This window comes from Homo sapiens, chromosome 10, assembly GCF_000001405.40.
Source record: "Homo sapiens chromosome 10, GRCh38.p14 Primary Assembly".
Classification (NCBI taxonomy): Eukaryota; Metazoa; Chordata; class Mammalia; order Primates; family Hominidae; genus Homo; species Homo sapiens.
Genome location: NC_000010.11, coordinates 1,084,551 through 1,103,113, shown reverse-complemented (window position 1 = coordinate 1,103,113; position 18,563 = coordinate 1,084,551). Strand labels below are relative to the sequence as shown.

The following is an 18,563-nucleotide window of genomic DNA, read 5'->3' as shown; positions in this document are numbered from 1 at the left end:
CCCCCTGTCAAAGGCCAAGGCTAAAACAAACACATTACAGCCAGCTCTGTAAGAAAATCTGTATATTCATCCAACAAATATTTATCAGGGGGTGACAGAGTGCCAGTCCCCACCCCCAGCCCAGGTGCTGCTTACACAATGCAGAAGAGGACAGACGGCTTCTGACATGCACACATGCAAAACTACGCTCAATCTAGCAGGTAGGAACTCTGGAGTGAGGACCCCTGGTAAAGCCCCTGCCCTCAGAGAACTTCTGTTCTAGCAAAAGAGAGAGACCACACACACACACACCCGTTAGTATGGAGAGGTATGTCATATATACACAAGTACTAGTACTGGAACTGATAATTTGGAAATTTGTCCCAGCCCAAATCTCATGCTGAACTGGAATCCCCTGTGTTGGAGGCCGGGCCTGGTGGGGGTGTCTGGCTCATGGGGGAGGATTCCTCATAGCCTGATGCTGACCTCACAATAGTGGGTGAGCTCTCAAGAGATCTGGCTGCTTGGATGTGGGGCACCCCCCGCCCCCGCCTTACTCCTGTTTCCATCACATGACGCCTTCTCCCGCTTCGCCTTCTGCTGTGAGTGAAAGCTCCAAGCTCCCTGAAGCCTCCCCAGAAGCCAAGCAGATGCTGGTGCCACGCTTCCTGTACAGCCTGCAGAATCAGCCAATTAAACCTCTTTTCTTTATAAATTACCCTGTCTCAAGTATTTTTTATAGCAATGCAAGAATGGCCTAACACAGGCACGTCATGAGCACATATACATTACTAGGGAATGCACGTCACAGGGACGCACAGCAGCACGGGAACGCACGTCACAGGGACGCACAGCGGCACGGGAACGCACGTCACAGGGACGCACAGCGGCACGGGATCGCACGTCGCAGGGACGCACAGCAGCACGGCAACACGTCACATGGACACACAGCCGCACGAGAACACGTCACAGGGACGCACAACAGCAAGGGTTCCCACGTCACAGGGACGCACAGCAGCACGGGAACACACGTCACAGGGACGCACGGCAGCACGGAAACATGTCACATGGACGCACAGCAGCAAGGGAACGCACGTCACAGGGACGCACAGCAGCAAGGGAAAGCACGTCACAGGGACCCAGGGCAGCACGGGAACACATATCACATGGATGCAGAGCAGCACGGGAACACAAATCAACATGGAGACACAGAGTAAGGTGGTAGTAACTTCTATGAAGTAAAATAAAACAGGACAAGGGGCAGCTGGATGGGGGCGCTATTTCACACAGAATTACTGAGGAGGGACTCTCTGATGAGGTCGCACGTGAGTCGGATGTGAGGAAAGGAAAGGTTAAGTAAGGCTCGCCCGGGCTGAGGAACAACATTCCCGCCATGTGCGGAACAGCTACGGGAGGCAAAGTCGGGAACAGCTCCTGTAATCCCGGGAGACTGGAAAGGACACCAGGTTTTATTCCGTGTGATGCAAAATCACCAGACGGCTGTCGGCAGGATGTGATGCCCGGTGTGTGCTGTGTGAACAAACTGCGGAGGGAACAGTGGAAGGGGCTGCTATGGGCAGAACTGTGGACCCAAATTCCTGTGTCGAAGTCCTCACCCCAGGACCTCAGAATGGGGCTGTTTGGAGAAAGGGGCTTTAAAGAGATAATTAAGGTAAAATGAGACCAGGAGAGTGGATCCTATTCCAATAGGACTGACATCCTTGTAAGAAGAGATGAGGACACAGACACTCCCAGAGGGATGAAGGATCCAGGAGAAGACGCCATCTATGAGCCATGGAAAGACGCCTCAGGAGGAACCAGCCCTGCTCACACCCTCATCTCGGGCTTCCAGCCTCCAGGACTGTGGGAACACGGATCTGTTGTTTAGAACACGGATCTGTTGTTCAGAAGTCACCCTGCCTGTGGCACTTTGTTATGGCAGCCCCAGAAAACAACGGGGGAGACGGACAGGAGATGAGAGAAGTGCAGGGAGGGCGGCCTGGAGCAGGGTGGGAAGAAAGAACTGAAGCGCCCTCTGCTGCAGGAGTGGCTGACAGGGTGATTTCCACAGGCAGTAAGAGAACAATACAGGCGTTCAGACGGTGGAAAGGTGTTTGGTCTAAAGCACTGGGTGACAGGGACGTTTCCTGAGACGGGTGGCACAAGGAAAGGAACACCCAGAGACAGCAAGTTCAGGGTGGCACGTGCAGCTCAGTCGGGACGGGGGGCCCGAGGCTCACAAGGCTGGCAGAGGCCCCCAGACAGGCTGCAGCAGGGGGGTACTCGGTACGTCACCTTGAAGGCAGGGGGTGATGGGTGACAGCACTGCACGTGGCTGGGAAAACGGCTCTGGAGGGAGCACAGCAAAGAGCCAGGAGCAGCCACGGGGTGAACCCCTCAAAGAAGAAAAAGAAGGCTGAGGAAGTTAAACGAGTAACTCAGTGTAACCTAACTCACATGTGACAGTCATTCTGTTGGTCTAAGTCTGTTTCCACTACGCCACCCAAACGCTTCCTTATCAACACTGTGGATGTCAAGCAAAACTCACAGATGCAAATTTTAAAACACAAGACGTTTGCCCAAAAGCTATAATGATTCAAGATGAACACAGATTTTAACAGATTAGAGTTTGTGTTAAAATTGAAAATTAGAACTGCTAAGCAAATCAGAGTCAACACTGGCCGGCAAAAGCTTCAGAAAACAAAACTGCTTTCCACCTAAGGAGCCTCATTTCATCCAGTAGTGCTGGAAGGAGCCTCCCACGCCATTTCTGCAGGGACCTGGCCGTCCACAGGCTGCACTGCCTCCTCCTTATTAGGGAGGGCCCAACACAACTGTGTGTGCAGTGCTCCCAGGACAGCTCAAGTCACAGCACATCACAGAGGTTCATCTTTAACTCAGAACCCCCAACACCAGCCCCAAATCTTGAGGTGGCAGCTATCAATATGAGAAGTGCACTCACCCAACACAAGCAAAGTAGTAAAGAAGAAAATAAAATTAAGTGAACATTCTAAGTAAACTATTAGGTGTTTTTAATGTAAGTACTGGACATGAATCTTCCCTCTCACAAAATTAGTGTTTTTCTTATTTTATTTGGAAAACAATCCATACATTAACTCCTTTGAATTTCCTGAGCATCAATGCTCACCCTCCTCACCTCTCCACCACGCCCACCATCAGTGCACATTTTGAATTTCCTGAGCATCAGTGCTCACCCTCCTCACCTCTCCACCACTCCACCACGCCCGCCATCAGCGCACATTTTGAATTTCCTGAGCATCAATGCTCACCCTCCTCACCTCTCCACCATGCCCGCCATTAGTGCACATTTTGAATTTCCTAAGCATCAATGCTCACCCTCCTCACGTCTCCGCCACACCATCAGTGCACACGCTGAATTTCCTAAGCATCAATGCTCACCCTCCTCACCTCTCCACCACGCCCACCATCAGCACACATTTCACTTGTTTCATCACTAAATGTGCGTGTTAGTGGACAGTGTTATGCGCTACATAATGAATAGTCTGGCAATTCCACAAAGAGAACAAAACTGTGTTAATACACAATACATGCAGTTAAAAATGAACTATGATAACCTCTATTAGGACTAAAGAAAACTCATTTATCACTGGAATTTATTAACTGCTTAACTATCTCCACATAGAACAGTGTTTAGAATGTTCACAAAGCAGAAAACTCAAGGAATATTCCAAGATGAAAATATCAAAACTAGATTACTTTCATCCTTGCAACAATCACAGCCCAATACAAACTGAAACTTCTAGACGTGGACGTCATTTACACTGTCTGCCTGGCACTGTTCCCACCTGTTCAGGCACCGAACTGGGGGGGCTGAGCACGTGGGAAGATCACGCCACTAACATTTATCCTGTCATTGAAACTAGGGAGATAACTGCTCTCAGAGAAACATTCAGGCCTCTTTGTGATCATAAACATAGGGCACTGGGCTACTGCAGAGAGCACAAGGCAAACAGTAAGTGAAGAATTTTATGAATTTATGGTATAAATACATGAATTCATTCTTCTCAATACACATCTTTTGTTACCTACGTTTAAATGTGAACCACATAAAATTGATGTCATAAAGGCCATTAGTTGATGTGATGATAAACGTCCATGAAAGATACACCAGATGTCTAATATTAAACAGATGAAACAGTGAGAAACAGGATCCAAACATCAACTGTAAGAGAGTGGACGGTAAATGTTTACTGTCTGTTGAAAGGAAGGATGGAGCAGATGCATGCATACAGAGGTGAAGGAGCATCTTTCTAGGCACTGTCTCATTCAACGCAGGCTGCCAAAACACAAGACTACAGGCCAAAAGGCTTCAAAAACAGAAATTAGTCATCTTCCAGTTCTGGAGACTCTAAGTCCATGACCAACGTGTCAACCAGTGCAGCTTCTGGTGAGTCCCCTCTTCCGGTGTGTGGCACCGCCATCCTGCCGCGTGCCCACAGGGGCTCTTCTATTAATATTAGCACAGAGAGGCTGGGCACGGTGGCTCACGCCTGTAATCCCAGCACTTTGGGAGGCCGAGGAGGGCGGATCACGAGGTCAAGAGATTGAGACCGTCTGGCGAACGTGGTGAAACCCCATCTCTACTAAAAATACAAAAATTAGTTGGGTGTGGTGACACGCATCTGTGGTCCCAGCTACTCGGGAGGCTGAGGCAGGAGAATCCCTTGAACCCGGGAGGTGGAGGTTGCAGTGAGCCAAGATCACGCCACTGCACTCCAGCCTGGGCAACAGAGCGAGACTCCATCTCAAAAAAAAAAAAAAAAAAACGGACAGATGGGGAGGGGGTAGAAAGAGAGCGTGCACACACAAGGGCAGCCATAAGGGTGAGCTGTCTGGTGTCTCTTCTGACAAGGACACACTCATCCTATGGGATCAGGGCATCCCCTCCACTACCTCATTTTGCTTTAACCACTTTCTCAGAGGCCCCATCTCCAAATACAGCCACACTGGGGGTTAGGGCTTCAACACAGATTTCTGGGGGACGGAGACATTCAGTTGAGAACATCCTGTCCCTGGCCTCCCCCAAATTCATATCCTTCTTGCATGGCAAATACAGTCATCCCATCCCAACAGCCCCAGAAGTCTTATTCCAGCATCAGCGCTAAGGTGTGAAGTCCCAAGTCTCAACAAAACATCACCTGAATCAGGACTGGGTGGGACTCAGAGTGCGATTCGCCCACCCTGAAGCTGAGCTCCCCTCCAGCCGTAAACCACGGAACCCAAACAAGTTACATGTTCCCAAAATACAACAGTAGGGCAGGCACTGGACAGACGCTCCCTTTCCAAAAGAGAGAAAGAGGCAACAGGGAAAGGGTGGTGGGGCCCAAGCAAGTCCAAAACCCCACAAGGCAAACTCCACGAGCTCTTCAGGCTCCAGAGAGTCCCTCTTGGTCTGGATGCGCCACCCTCCAGGCATGCTGGGGCAGAGGTGTCACCCCCTTGGCTCAGCCTGGCAACCCCACCCCCACAGCACTGGACCATGGGCAACCTGGCCCTGAAACCAAGGAGGCTCCCACACTTCGAAACCAAGGAAGAAACAGGCTCTTGTCCTGGGACTGCAGTGAGAGCTGCAGCCCTGCCAACCTCAGAATCACCTTCGGGGCATTCTTCCCTCATCTTGAAGGGTGGTAAAGGTTCTCGCCCAGGCAGCTCTGGTTTCTGTGCTGTGGAATCCCAGCAGTCTGATGCCTTCCTTCATTCTGTCCCCACCATGTCCCCTCTGGTTCAAGCTGGCGGGGTCTCTGGGTATAATCCCATCTCCAGTCCTGGATCCTGCTGCGGTGGGTGCTTAAAGCTGTGGCTCCCACCCACACTCGCCTCCCTGTCAACTGGCTGTTCAGACAAACCCTGCATGTGCTCTTCGGAACCAGCTTTCTCTTTTTTTTGTCACAGACACAGGCTGGGAATTTCCCAAATCTTACAAGTTCTCGTCCCCTTTCCCTTAACAACTCTTTCGGAGTATCTCCGTCCTTTCACACTTTATTGTAAGCGAGGAGAGCAGCCAGGCTGCACCTTTAACATTTCATTCACAGGATCTCAGCTCAGCCAAGTCCTCAGCCATTTTGTAATGAGGATCACTTTCTTCCGGTTCCCCGTGACCTGTCCCTCGCCTCCTCTAAGCCTCAGCAGAAAGGCCTTCAACATCCACTTTTCCACAACATTCTGTCTATGATACCTGCATTCTCTGAGATGCTAGAAGCTTTCTCTCCAGCTCTCCCCTTTCCTCTCTGAGCCTTCACCCGAGTCCCCATTGATGTCCGTATTTCTACCAACAAGCTCTTCGCCGCTATGGAGGCTTTCTCCAGCAGGTCCCTGAAAACGTCTGCAGCATGTACCCATTCCCGGTCCCGAAGCCAGGTCCACACCGTCGGCATTTCTCCAGCAGCCCCCGCTCTGCGCGCGGTACTGAAATCTGTCTCAGTTGGCTCTGGCTGCCGCAACAAAAGGCCGCAGACCGGGCGACGCATAAAAAACAGACATTTATTTTCTCACAGTGCTGGAGGCTGGAAGTCCAAGATCAAGCCAATTCAGGTTCTGGTGCGGGCTCATCCTTAAAGACGGCCGCCCTCTGGCTCTGCTCTTACGTGACACGGAGAGTGACAGAGAGATTGAGAACACAGGTGAGCTCTCCACTGTCTCCTCTTATGAGGACCTCACGCAACCTCACTGAACCTTAACTACTACCTTAGAGGCCCAATCTCCAAATTCAACCATACCGGGGGTGAGGCCTTCAACACTGAACTTGGGGGGACACAAACATTCCGTCCATGACAGATATCATAAATGGATTCTCAGATTCGCAGACATCAGCATCCTACACATTCACAGGTAAGGAAAGGTGCTTACACTAGTGTCAGCAACAGGCTGGGGTGTCGGCAGCTGCACCGCGTATCTCCAGATATGAGCAGTCTGATCTCCAGAAGCTGAAGAGAGAAATCGGGGAAAATTACCCAAGGCACAGACCATGGTAAAATGCGCTCTTCACCGCCACTATGGCTAAGCAGCAGCAGTCAGACCTTTCCAGCTTAGTGACCACTTAGTGAGAGGAATGTACTTTTTACTTAAATAACTCTTTTCTGAGACTGCATAATGCTATTGAAAATAGAGTACATGTCCAAAATTGAGGAAATAATGATTACTTATAAAACTATTTCACCTTTCATTTTAGCATAGAAAGTCCTGGAAGTTCAGAGAAAATGTACAAATAGTAGATTTTCCTCTCCATCTATCTAACCTAAGAAACCCTATCATATCAGAACTTACAGCTGCAATCAACTCTGAGACGTTCGGGAAAGCGACACTCATCTCCATCCATTCAACACACACGCGGCCTTTCAATGGGCCAGGCACCTATCAGCACTGCTCATGTGTGCGGCTCCCGTCCCACTCTGTTTTCAGCAGCCAGTTTGCGAGGAAACGCTTTGACTGAGGATTGGAAAGACAAAAGGACAGCACTGCGGGGCACAGAACAGGCCTCGGACACCAGCATGGCCACCTCTCACCCACACACGGGCAGGCTGGCTTCCACCTTCTCTTCACTGCCACCCAGCTTCTCTAAAGGAGCTGCTCTGAGCTGATGCAGCACATTTGATGCAAATGAATGTACTGCCCGGACTTGCAACTCCTCCTCAAATCAACATCATGCCCAATCCCAGTCTAACTCTCCTCTCTCCATGCCCGTTACCTCACGTTTCCCCTCTAACTCTCCTCTCTCCATGCCTGTTACCTCACGTTTCCCAGTCTAACTCTCCTCTCTATCCCCATTACCTCACATTCCCAGTCTAACTCTCTCCTCTCTATGCCCATTACCTCCAGTTTCCAAGTCTAACTCTCCCCTCTCCATGCCCATTACCTCACGTTTCCAAGTCTAACTCTCCTCTCTCCATGCTCGTCACCTCACATTTCCCAGTCTAACTCTCCCCTCTCCATGTTCATTACCTCATCTTTCCCAGTCTAACCCTCCTCTCTCCATGCCCATTACCTCACGTTTCCAAGTCTAACCCTCCTCTCTCCATGCCCATTACCTCACGTTTCCCAGTCTAACTCTCCTCTCTATACCCATTACCTCATGTTTCCCAGTCTAACCCTCCTCGCTATCCCCATCACCTCACGTTTCTCAGTCTAACTCTCCCTTCTCTATGCCCATTACCTCCTGTTTCCAAGTCTAACTCTCCTCTCTCCATGTTCATTACCTCATGTTTCCCAGTGTAACTCTCCTCTCTATCCCCATTATCTCACATTTCCTAATCTAACTCTCCCCTCTCTATGTCCATTACCTCACGTTTCCAAGTCTAACTCTCCTCTCTATCCCCATTACCTCATGTTTCCTAGTCTAACTCTCCCCTCTCTATGTCCATTACCTCATGTTTCCAAGTCTTCATCAGTTCCTGGATGTGTCTGGTTCCACCCTCTTTTCCAGCCCTTTGGTTTGAATCTGGACACGTCTAATTGCCACCAGTCTCCTTGCTCCCTTTTCAATCATCCCACAAACCGCCAACTTCGTAAGGTGTAAACTCCTTGTCTGCTTTAGTCTTCATCCACGTATGAAGGTGAAAGTCAGCTATGTGGTCTGGGCCTGCTCAAAATGACTCTCAGGCTAACCCTCCCACCACATTTCTCTCTCACATAGAAACTCCAACCAAACCGCATGACTCGCTGCATCCCACACACTGGAAGTACCTGTTGCTGGGGCTCCTTCTTAAACAACTCCACCTGCATGAAGGGGCCAGTCATCTCAACCTCAGTGTTCTATTCCTGCGTCAGCACAATTTGGCCCATAGGCGAAACCCAGACAGCCGCCCACTTTTGTGAATAAGTGGACACAGCCATGTCCACTCATCAGTGCACTGTCCGCTGCTTTTAGGCTGCAAGAGCAGAACTCAGTACTGGCGACAGAGCCTGAATGTCCCGCAAAGATGAAAATATTCACTGCTTACTCCTTTACAGAAAAATCATAAGGACCTCTGGTCTACTGAAAGCCTACACACATCCTTCGAGATCATCACCAATGTCCCTGGGCTATCATGGGGATCTGTGGGGGTCTGACAATCTCACAGGAAAAGTCCTCAGTACTGTAAGGCTACCCTCGAAAAAGCGACCAAGGAAGGCACGTTTTTAAAACTACTCTGAAATTATAGCAAATCCAAGCTACCACGGGTTAGATAAATTACCCAGAAAGAAGTAAAAATGCTGACATTGGCAACTTGCTGTGTCTCTGTGCTACTTTTCTCTTTTCCTCCATATCAGATGCCTACAATCTAAGGGAACAGAATGGTAACCACAGGGCCTCAAGGAGCTCCGTCTACAGGAACTGCGGGGGGAGCAGCAAACATACTGATGCTGTACGGAAAGGCTTCGAGAAGACCGTGAAGCCATCTTCATCTCACAATAAATCCAACTGCTTATCCACTACTGTCTCTAGAAAGTACTGCTCAATGTATTTTCCTTTATCCATTTCTCATTTAATTCATAAAATGTCTACTAAAGATTAACTTTCATAAAAGCCATGGATTATTCTGCTACGATAAGAAAGGAATATTTATAGTTGTTTTAAGACCATCTATCATTTTGTTCAATAAAGAAAAAAATCAACATACCAGTGAGAGCCAACTGCTCTGAGGGATGAAATTTGATAGAATTTACTGCAAAATAAAAATATGATAAAAACAGGTTTAAAGTGACAAAAACATGTTATCAACATTTATTAGCTATAGCGTGTATTTCAAAGTCAACATTAAAAGAACTATGAGTTCAATATTTGATCCTCCACTCAGTTAAGTTATAAATAAATGTGTGAATTAGAACACAGGCACAATAAAAACAACTAAGGTATGAACCACCAAATCGCTATAGTTTAGGACCCCAGGAAAAGGATATTCATCATCTAGTTCTTTTTATAGACAAAGATGTCATTTTTAGCTAAAAATAAATCAGGATTAAAAAAAAGAAAACATAATTATGACAACGGGTGAAGACAAATTATAGTGTGGCAGACACAATTTATTACCATAAGCCCCGCCCCATCCGCCTTCCTTCCCAGCCTAAGGACCCCAGTCTGTTCTGTGACTAGTAGAGACGCCAGGACCCCAGAGAGTATAACCTCTGCCAGCCTCAGAGAATGAATCAGGACTGGGTTACACAGTCTATGATGTCCTCCCACTTTCCTTACAAAAGGGGTATTTGGCAGAGGTCTTCTTTTTTTTTTTTTTTTTTTTTTTTTTGTGAGATAGGGTCTTGCTCTGGTTGCCTAGGCTGGAATGCAATGGCACGATCTCAGCTCACTACAGCTTTGACCTTCAAGGCTCAGGTGATCCTCCTACCTTAGCCTCCCAAGTAGCTGGGACACAAGAATGTACCACCACACCTGACTAGTTTGGGGTTTCTTTGTATTTTTAGTAGAGACAGGGTCTTGCCATTTTTAGTAAAGACAGGGTCGGGCCAGACGCACTGGCTCACGCCTGTAATACCAGCACTTTGGGAGGCCGAGGCGGGCAGATCACGAGGTCAGGAGATCGAGACCATGGTGAAACCCCGTCTCTACTAAAAATACAAAAAATTAGATGGGCACTGTGGCAGGCGCCTGTAGTCCCAGCTACTTGGGAGGCTGAGGCAGGAGAATGGCATGAACCCAGGGGGGCAGAGCTTGCAGTGAGCCAAGATCCGCGAGCCACTGCACTCCAGCCTGGGCGACAGAGCGAGATTCCGTCTCAAAAAAAAAGAGGGTCTTTTGTATTTTTAGTAGAGACACGGTCTTTTGTATTTTTAGTAGAGACCGGGTCTTGCCATGTCGTCCAGGCTGGTCTCAAACTCCTGCCTACCTCGGCCTCCCAAAGTGCTGGGATTACAGGCGTGAGCCACCGCACCCAGCCAGAGGTCTGAGGAAGCTATCATTTTCTTTTTTTTTTTTTTTTTTTGAGACGGAGTCTCGCTGTGTCTCCCAGGTTGGAGTGCAGTGGCGCGATCTCAGCTCACTGCAAGCTCCGCCTCCCAGGTTCATGCCATTCTCCTGCCTCAGCCTCCCAAGTAGCTGGGACCACAGGCGCCCGCCAACACGCCCGGCTAATTTTTTCTATTTTTAGTAGAAACGGGGTTTCACCGTGTTAGCCAAGATGGTCTCAATCTCCTGACCTCGTGATCCGCCCGTCTCGGCCTCCCAAAGTGCTAGGATTACAGGCGTGAGCCACCGCGCCCGGCCTATCATTTTCTTGAAAAAGGAGCAGGAGACCCTGGCACTTCACCTTCCCCCTTGCTCCTGTCTTGAATGTAGACAGAATAGCTTGACATGTGGTCAGCAAGACCACAAGCACGCACATAAATGCCAGCATTGAACACAGAGCCCGGCTCCACAGGCCTGACCTAGTCTGGAGCCCACACTGCCCACCTGGGATGTTCCCAAAGCAAACGACAGGAATTGGGATGGGGTGAGCTACCATCAGTCAGCACCAGTCAGCAGAGCAAAGAGCTGACTCCTGTCACTCTGGGGACACCAACCCTTATTTCCACCCCTTGTGAAGAAAATGCATGTCCCTAACGTAGAACATATAGGAAATTTGACCAAATCTGAATAGGTTATCTCCTTAACAAAATGTTGGTAGCTATACCATTAGAATTATATTTTTCTAAGGAACTAAATGAAAAATGCTAGAAGATAGCCTCATTATTAATATTAAAATACAGATAACTGTGGGAAAAACTGGTGGAAACCGTGTACACTTATAAGCAATAAACTTAAGCACTCAATGGAGCTAAAACCAAACGATCACTAGACCCACTAACAAATAGTATTAATGCTTCCAATTTCGATGAGAAATTTTGGTAAGATCAATCATCAATTTTCACTTTATTATGTCTATCCCAACCCTCAGCTAATCACAAACGAAGCTGGGCCACTGTGAGGTGTGGGTGGAAGGCACCACACCACAGAAGGAGGGGTAGGGCAGGCAGGCACATGGTGACGGGAGCTGTGGAGGCAGTTGCTTCGCAGCACTGCTCACCCACTCAAAATAGTGTGAAAACTGACCCCTGATCTTACAAAATCGGCACAGAATCATGTTGGGGTTAGGATGAAAACCACGCCTGTATAACGAGGCCCTCGAGAGAGCTCAATCACCCCCGGTCACCTTCCATAGTGGACGGTCAACAGGCCGGCTGGAGCAGGAAGGCCGGGGCAGCACGTGAGCCATGATTTAAAGGCGCAGCAGCAGAATCCATGGGCACCTGACCCAATCCACAGTGGCCACGAGGGGAGCAGAAACGGGGATGCCAGCCACGGCTACCCTTCATCCAGTGTCAAAGGCACTGGCTCCTTCCATCACGTGCACATTTAACTGTCATAAAATTTAAGCTGAAATCTAAAGAGAGAAGAACAAAGGGGACAACAACCTCTGCCACCAGTGTCACCTCTGCCTCTGAGAGGCGCAGACACAGTGAAACTGGGACCCTCACCCATTTTCCTCTCCTGGGGGCCAGAGCGGGGAGTCTGCTGTTGGGCATTGTGCTCAGAGGACCCAAGAGGAAAGAGGCAGAGTGTGATTCAGGGTCAAGACCATCTCCTTGTAGAGTTGTACTGATTCAACTCCCACCAGCCCCACCACTCCCTTTAGTTAGGTCAACTTAAGAGATCAAAACATCTCCAGGCCGGGCACGGTGGCTCACACCTATAATCCCAACATTTTGGGAGGCCGAGGCGGCTGGATCACCTGAAGTCAGGAGTTCAAGACCAGCTTGACCAACATGGTGAAACCCCACGTCTACTAAAAATACAAAACTTAGCTGGGCGTGGTGGCATGTGCCTGTACTCCCAGCTACTCGGGAGGCCGAAGCAGGAGAATCCTTTGAACCAGGGATGCGGAAGTTGCAGTGAGCCGAGATCCTACCACTGCACTCCAGCCTGGTGACACAGCAAAACTCCATCTCAAAAAATAAATTAATTAAAAATAAATTTTAAAAAAATACAAAATTTAGCCAGGCGTGGTGGCGGGCACCTATAATCCCAGCTACTCGGGAGGCTGAAGCAGGAGAATCGTTTCAACGTGGGAGGCGGAGGTTGCAGCAAATGAAGATTGCACCACTGCACTTCAGCCTGGGTGACATAGTGAGACTCCGTCTCAAAAAAAGAAAAATCCCCTAGTGGAAAAACACAAACACAAGTCCCCAGGAGGAAGAGGAGAGACACACGCAACACGACAACGTGCCAGAAACACAGGCGTCTTCTCCCCTCTCTGACACCTCTCTAAATGCAGAAGGCATCCTGGAAGAAACAGGAACAGACCCACAAAGAAAGAACTAAAGAGACGATGAGCGAAGAGACGACACCGAATACTGGAGGCCAGAAGAGCAGATGGTGACGGTGAGTGAGTGAACACAGGAAGGTTGAATTGCGGGTGAGCACGGGAAGGCCGAACTGCGGGTGAGCACGGGAAGGCCGAACTGCGGGTGAGCACGGGAAGGCTGAATTGTGGGTGAGCATGGGAAGGTTGAATTGTGGGTGAGCACGGGAAGGCTGAATTAACCTGCGTGAAGAACGGAAAGCCAATAAAAAACACAAGCCAGGCACAAGAACAGGAAGAGACTTCTTCCTGCTGGGACAAGGCAGCCTCTGTGGATCCACTCAGACCCCCTAGTGGAATTAATTATAAAAGCTGCAGATAAACAGCAAAAAATAAACACAAGGCTTGAAGTCATCATGGAAGCCCTGAGGCCCCCAGGCCCAGAGGCCCCAGAGGGAAGCACTGGAAGCCCCACTAGCTGACGCACTCCCTCAAGGCACAGAGACCAGCCGGAGCGAGGGTGCAGTCCAGACGTGAGCGGCCGTGACAGGAACTGAGGCTGGATCCCTCAGAAGAGGCAGCCAGGAAGGAGCGGGCCAGCTGCTCGCCTCCCCCAGGCACTGACAGCACCTAAACTGGGCATGAGGGCGGACACCAAGCAGAAAGCAGCCTCTAAGAGCTAACACGGAGAGGACTGGCAGATGAAACTAAAGCTCAGGGCCTGTGAAGACACACCCTTGAAGGACAACTCCCTTAGAACAAGGGAAAGCGAGAGGAACAGCAGAACCCCTAAAGCCTGAAACCCACCGGCCACCAACCCTTAAGTCAATCAAGGCTTGCCGTCCACTCTATCTGCTGGCCAAGGGAAAATTAAATCCCCTCTAGAGAACAGAAATGACTATGCGTGTATGTACACGTCTATGTGTGGATGCAGGCATACCCCGTTTTATTACCCTTCACTTTACTGTGCTTTGTAGGTACTGGATTTTTTACAAATTGAGGGTTTGTGGCAACCCTGCGTTGAACACCTAATTGCCACGATTTTCCCAACAGCATGTGTTCACTTCACGTCTCTGTGACACACGCTGGTAATTCTTGCAATATTTCAAACTTTTTCTTTTTTTTTTTTTAATTTCTTTTTGCCAGCACCTTGACCTTGGATTTTTGCATTATTATTATGTCTGTTAATAGTGACCTGTGATCTCTGATGCTACCATTGTCATTTTGGGGAGAGGCACAAACCACACCCACATAAGACCACAAACTTACTCAATAAATGTTGTGGGAGTTATGACTGCTCCACCAACCAGCCTTTCTCTCATCTCTCCCTCTGCTCAGGCCTCTCTACTCCGAGACAAAACAATACTAAAATTAGGCCAATTCATAACCCTACAATGGCCTCTAAGTATTCCAATGCAAGGAAGAGTTGCACATTGCTCCCTTTAAATCAAAAGCTAGAAATGATTAAGCTTAGTGAGGAAGGCAAGTCAAAAGCTGAGACAGGCTGAAAGCTGGGCATCTTGCACCAAACAGCCAACTTCTGAATGCAAAGGAAAAGTTCTCGAAGGAAAGTAAGAGCACTATTCCAGTGAACACACAAATGACAAGAACGCCGATACACAGGAAGTTTGAGTGGTGGGGACTGATTAAACCAGCCACAACATTCCCTTTAGCTGCAGCCTAATTCAGAGCAGGGCCCTGACTCTCAATTCCCTGAGGGCTGTGAGAGGTGAGGGAGCTGCGGAAGAAAAGCTGGAAGCTGGCAGAGAGTTGTTTATGAGGTTTAAGACACCGTCTCCACAACATAAAAGTACAAGGTGAAACAGCAAGTGCTGATGGAGAAGCTGCAGCAAGTTCTCCAGAAGATCCAGCTGAGCTCATTGGTGAAGATGGTTACTCTAAACAACAGGTTTTGAATGCAAACAAACAGCCTTATATTGGAAGAATATGCTGTCTAGTACTTTCCTAGCTAGAAAGGAGACATCCATGCCTTCGAAACTTCAAGGGACAGGCTGACTCTTGTTAGGGGCGAATGCGGCTGGTGACTTTCAGCTGAAGTCAATGCTCACTTGCCATTTCAAAAATCCCAGGGCCCTTAAGAATTACGCTACATCTCCTCTACCTGTCCTCCATAAATGGAACAACAAAGCATGGATGACAGTACATCTGATGACAGCATTGTTGACTGAGTATTTTAAGCCTACCATTAAGACCTACACCTATCATAATACAACTGGCTCATTGACAACGCACCTGCTCACCTAAGAGCTCTGATGGAGATGTACAAGATGAATGCTGATTTCATGCCTACTAACACAACATCCATTCTGTAGCCCAGGGATCAAGGAGTCATTTCGATTTTCAAGTCTTAAGTTTTTAACCTATGCACATATATTTAATTTTTTTAACGTTTCTGAAGAGGAAATTTGAAGGAGGAAACAGAATACAGCACTCGTTCCTGTAACAGCGTTTTGCTCTACATTTGAGCACCAATCACACACACGCCAGGCACTGCTAGAAAACTGCAGGTGACACTGTGGCACCCCAGCCAGTCTGTGGGATGCCAGGGGAGGAAGACAGGTAAGAAGGCAGCACGGAGGAGGGGGTCTAACACGGGAAAGGCGCCAGCCTGTCTACACACTAAGGGGAAATGTCCAGGGCAAGAAAGAGAAGACACTGTGACAGCAGGAATGGCCAAAGGAGAGGAGGTCCTGGGAAAGGGGAGGGGAAGGCTCCACAGCTCATCAGGGCCCTGTGGACGGGCAGACAGGCGCTCAGAGCCACGGGCCCCACCCACACCTGTCCCTCTGTGCACACAGGCGATGCCACCTCTCAGCCTGGCAGCGTGGAGGTGTGAGGGAGGGCGAGTGAGCAAGTGAAGAGGGCACTGCGGGGGAAGGAACCACACAGCACGTGCGAGAGGAAACAGAAACAAAGTCTGGTCAGGAAACTGGTACACACACAGCTCTAAGTGAAAAGGCAGAAAAGAGCTACGTGAACAGCGTTAACTAACTACATGGACAGCGTTAACTACGTGGACAGCATTCACTCCGTGGACAGCATTAACTACGGGCACGCAAGCACATTCATGGAGTATCCTTTATTGAATACATCCAAGTTATCACTACATCAAAAGTAAACCTCTAAAACAGATATGTATTTTGTGAAAAATAACGCACACATTTCAGTTACAAAATTTCCTACATATGGGTTATATACAATATTAAATAAAATGCAGACTAACATGATATGTACATTGTTTAGGGAGTTAAGCTTTTCCCTGTTATTGAGCCCATACAAGCTCAAGACAGAGTTATCCCAGTCTCTGAACAGACCACACTGTCCCCTGACAACCGAAACAGTAAGGCTTCCTACACAGTAGCAGCTGGCTTTATCATGCACGATTTTAAAAACACACTGGAGAAGGCAACGGCCTCTGGCTACGGCACTCCTTAGGCAGTGCTTACCTGAGCCCACGTGGCCTGCGTACTTGACTAGGCACTTCCCTGTCTCTATGCTCCACAGCAAAGCCGTGTGATCTGCAAGATGGAAATGAAGAAGTCGGAACTTAGCTATCATCAGTTTATAGTTTTTCAAATGAAAGAATAAGACAAATACTCTAAAAATGGGAAATTACACGACCACTGATATCTCTTCCACCTTTGATTCTATTACTCTGTATGCTTCAATTGATCAAAGAAAACATTTCCCAAATGGGAGAAGCTGTGACCTGTCTGAGGCCATGAAGTCAGCTAACGGACAACCAGAGACTCGATTTCCTACTTTACTATCAGGCTGGCTGCATCATGCTGGAAAATGACAGACAGAGGTCGTTCCCATCACAGTTTCATTATTTTATTAAAGTATTAAAATGTTCCAGAACATCTCCCAGAGTTCAAATTCAAACAGCATCCAAATCCAGTTACAACTGTTGAGATAAGCATGTCTTTGGATCTTTGGGTCTTTCTCTTATAGCCATTATTTTTTTAAGTAGATTTAATGGGAAAATCTGAGAAATAAGCACCAATTAGCCAAATGAAATTTCGGAAATATCAGAAAGGACCTTTTTATTCTTTTTTTAAAACTATGATTTCCAAAGCAATCCAAGGCGCTCATCCATGAAAACAGTTTCAAAGGAGAAGCAAGAACTTTCTTCGCTATTCAAATGGTTTATCACATTCACTTCTGCCTCTAAAAAGCAGAGTCCAGTGAGTGATTAACGTCTCACAAGCTGGGACGGCATTTTCAATGAGCATCATTTGTAATTTGAGCAATTTTTATCTCAAGGGGTATTATGCCACCTTAGATAGCTTTCATAAAATATCTTTTTTTAGAGAAAACAAAGGGTCACTTTCCACACTCTGCCCCTGTGATTCTGTGGGCAAACATCTGCTGGGGGAGGCCATCAGCCTCCACTGCTGGCTACGTGCCCAGGTAGTGTTCACTTTCAGTGAGTACCAAACTACTGTCCCTCAACTGCACTCCACTTGTGGGAAAAAAGTCAAATACATCCACAAATCAGAAACACACTTGGCTGTGGATAAGAAAAAGAGGGCCAGGCACGATGGCTCACGCCTGTAATCCCAACACTTTGGGAGCCCAAGGCAGGCAGATCACAAGGTCAGGAGATCAAGACCATCCTAGCTAAACGGTGAAACCCCGCCTCTACTAAAAATACAAAAAAAAAAAAAAATTAGCCAGGCGTGGTGGCGGGCGCCTGTAGTCCCAGCTACTGGGAAGGCTGAGGCAGGAGAATCGCTTGAACGCAGGAGGTGGCAGAGGTTGCAGTGAGCCGAGATTGCGCCACTGCACTCCAGCCTGGGCAACAGAGCGAGACTCCGTCTCAAATAAGAAAAAGAAAACAAATAATTGGAATACTGATTCCTCAACACATTTAAGTTAAATCCATTCCAAACAAGTATTTCTTTCCTCAGATACTTGGTTCACTGTGAGTTGCAACGCCCTACCCACGGGGACCTGGAAAAGACAGGGTGCAGATGCACATCTATTCATGGGAGCATGGAATGCAGGATGCAGCTGGACACCCACCCACGGGACCACAAAATGCAAGGTGCAGCTGCACACCCTCCCACAAGACCACGGAATGCAGGACTTCAGGCCACAACACTAAGCATCACCAAGGGTTAATGTGTGGGGGGTTCCACTGACTCCTCCATGACGCTTTTGCATCTAGGGTTCCTCTGCCACAGAAAAGTGAATGTCCATCACTCAGGGATTAAGCACAGCCATGCTTCCGCAGGCTGGCCAGGTCCG

General features: G+C 48.4%; 1 protein-coding gene across 1 annotated transcript in view, besides 3 other annotated features; it reads right to left on the bottom strand.

Moving 5' to 3' along the window:
• Positions 1-18,563, bottom strand: part of WDR37 (WD repeat domain 37) — a 75,988-nt gene that overhangs the window by 29,259 nt on the left and 28,166 nt on the right. The window contains exons 7-9 of the mRNA NM_014023.4: positions 16,757-16,828; positions 9,618-9,662; positions 6,868-6,944 (exon numbers count right to left, since the gene is read on the bottom strand). Of these exons, the coding sequence (NP_054742.2) occupies positions 6,868-6,944; positions 9,618-9,662; positions 16,757-16,828 (194 nt within the window). The remainder of the gene's footprint in view (positions 1-6,867; positions 6,945-9,617; positions 9,663-16,756; positions 16,829-18,563) is intronic.
• Positions 383-915: an enhancer, noted in NCBI's record as "H3K27ac-H3K4me1 hESC enhancer chr10:1148139-1148671 (GRCh37/hg19 assembly coordinates)". NCBI's record gives its function as "activates a minimal SCP1, AML or CMV promoter by ChIP-STARR-seq in primed H9 embryonic stem cells {active_cell/tissue: H9 hESC(primed)}" and the evidence as "EXISTENCE:reporter gene assay evidence [ECO:0000049][PMID:30033119]".
• Positions 6,277-7,476: an enhancer, noted in NCBI's record as "MED14-independent group 3 enhancer chr10:1141578-1142777 (GRCh37/hg19 assembly coordinates)". NCBI's record gives its function as "activates an origin of replication core promoter dependent on BRD2, BRD4, P300/CBP and CDK7 cofactors, and independent of MED14, by STARR-seq in HCT116 cells {active_cell/tissue: HCT116}" and the evidence as "EXISTENCE:reporter gene assay evidence [ECO:0000049][PMID:35650434]".
• Positions 18,030-18,529: an enhancer, noted in NCBI's record as "H3K4me1 hESC enhancer chr10:1130525-1131024 (GRCh37/hg19 assembly coordinates)". NCBI's record gives its function as "activates a minimal SCP1, AML or CMV promoter by ChIP-STARR-seq in primed H9 embryonic stem cells {active_cell/tissue: H9 hESC(primed)}" and the evidence as "EXISTENCE:reporter gene assay evidence [ECO:0000049][PMID:30033119]".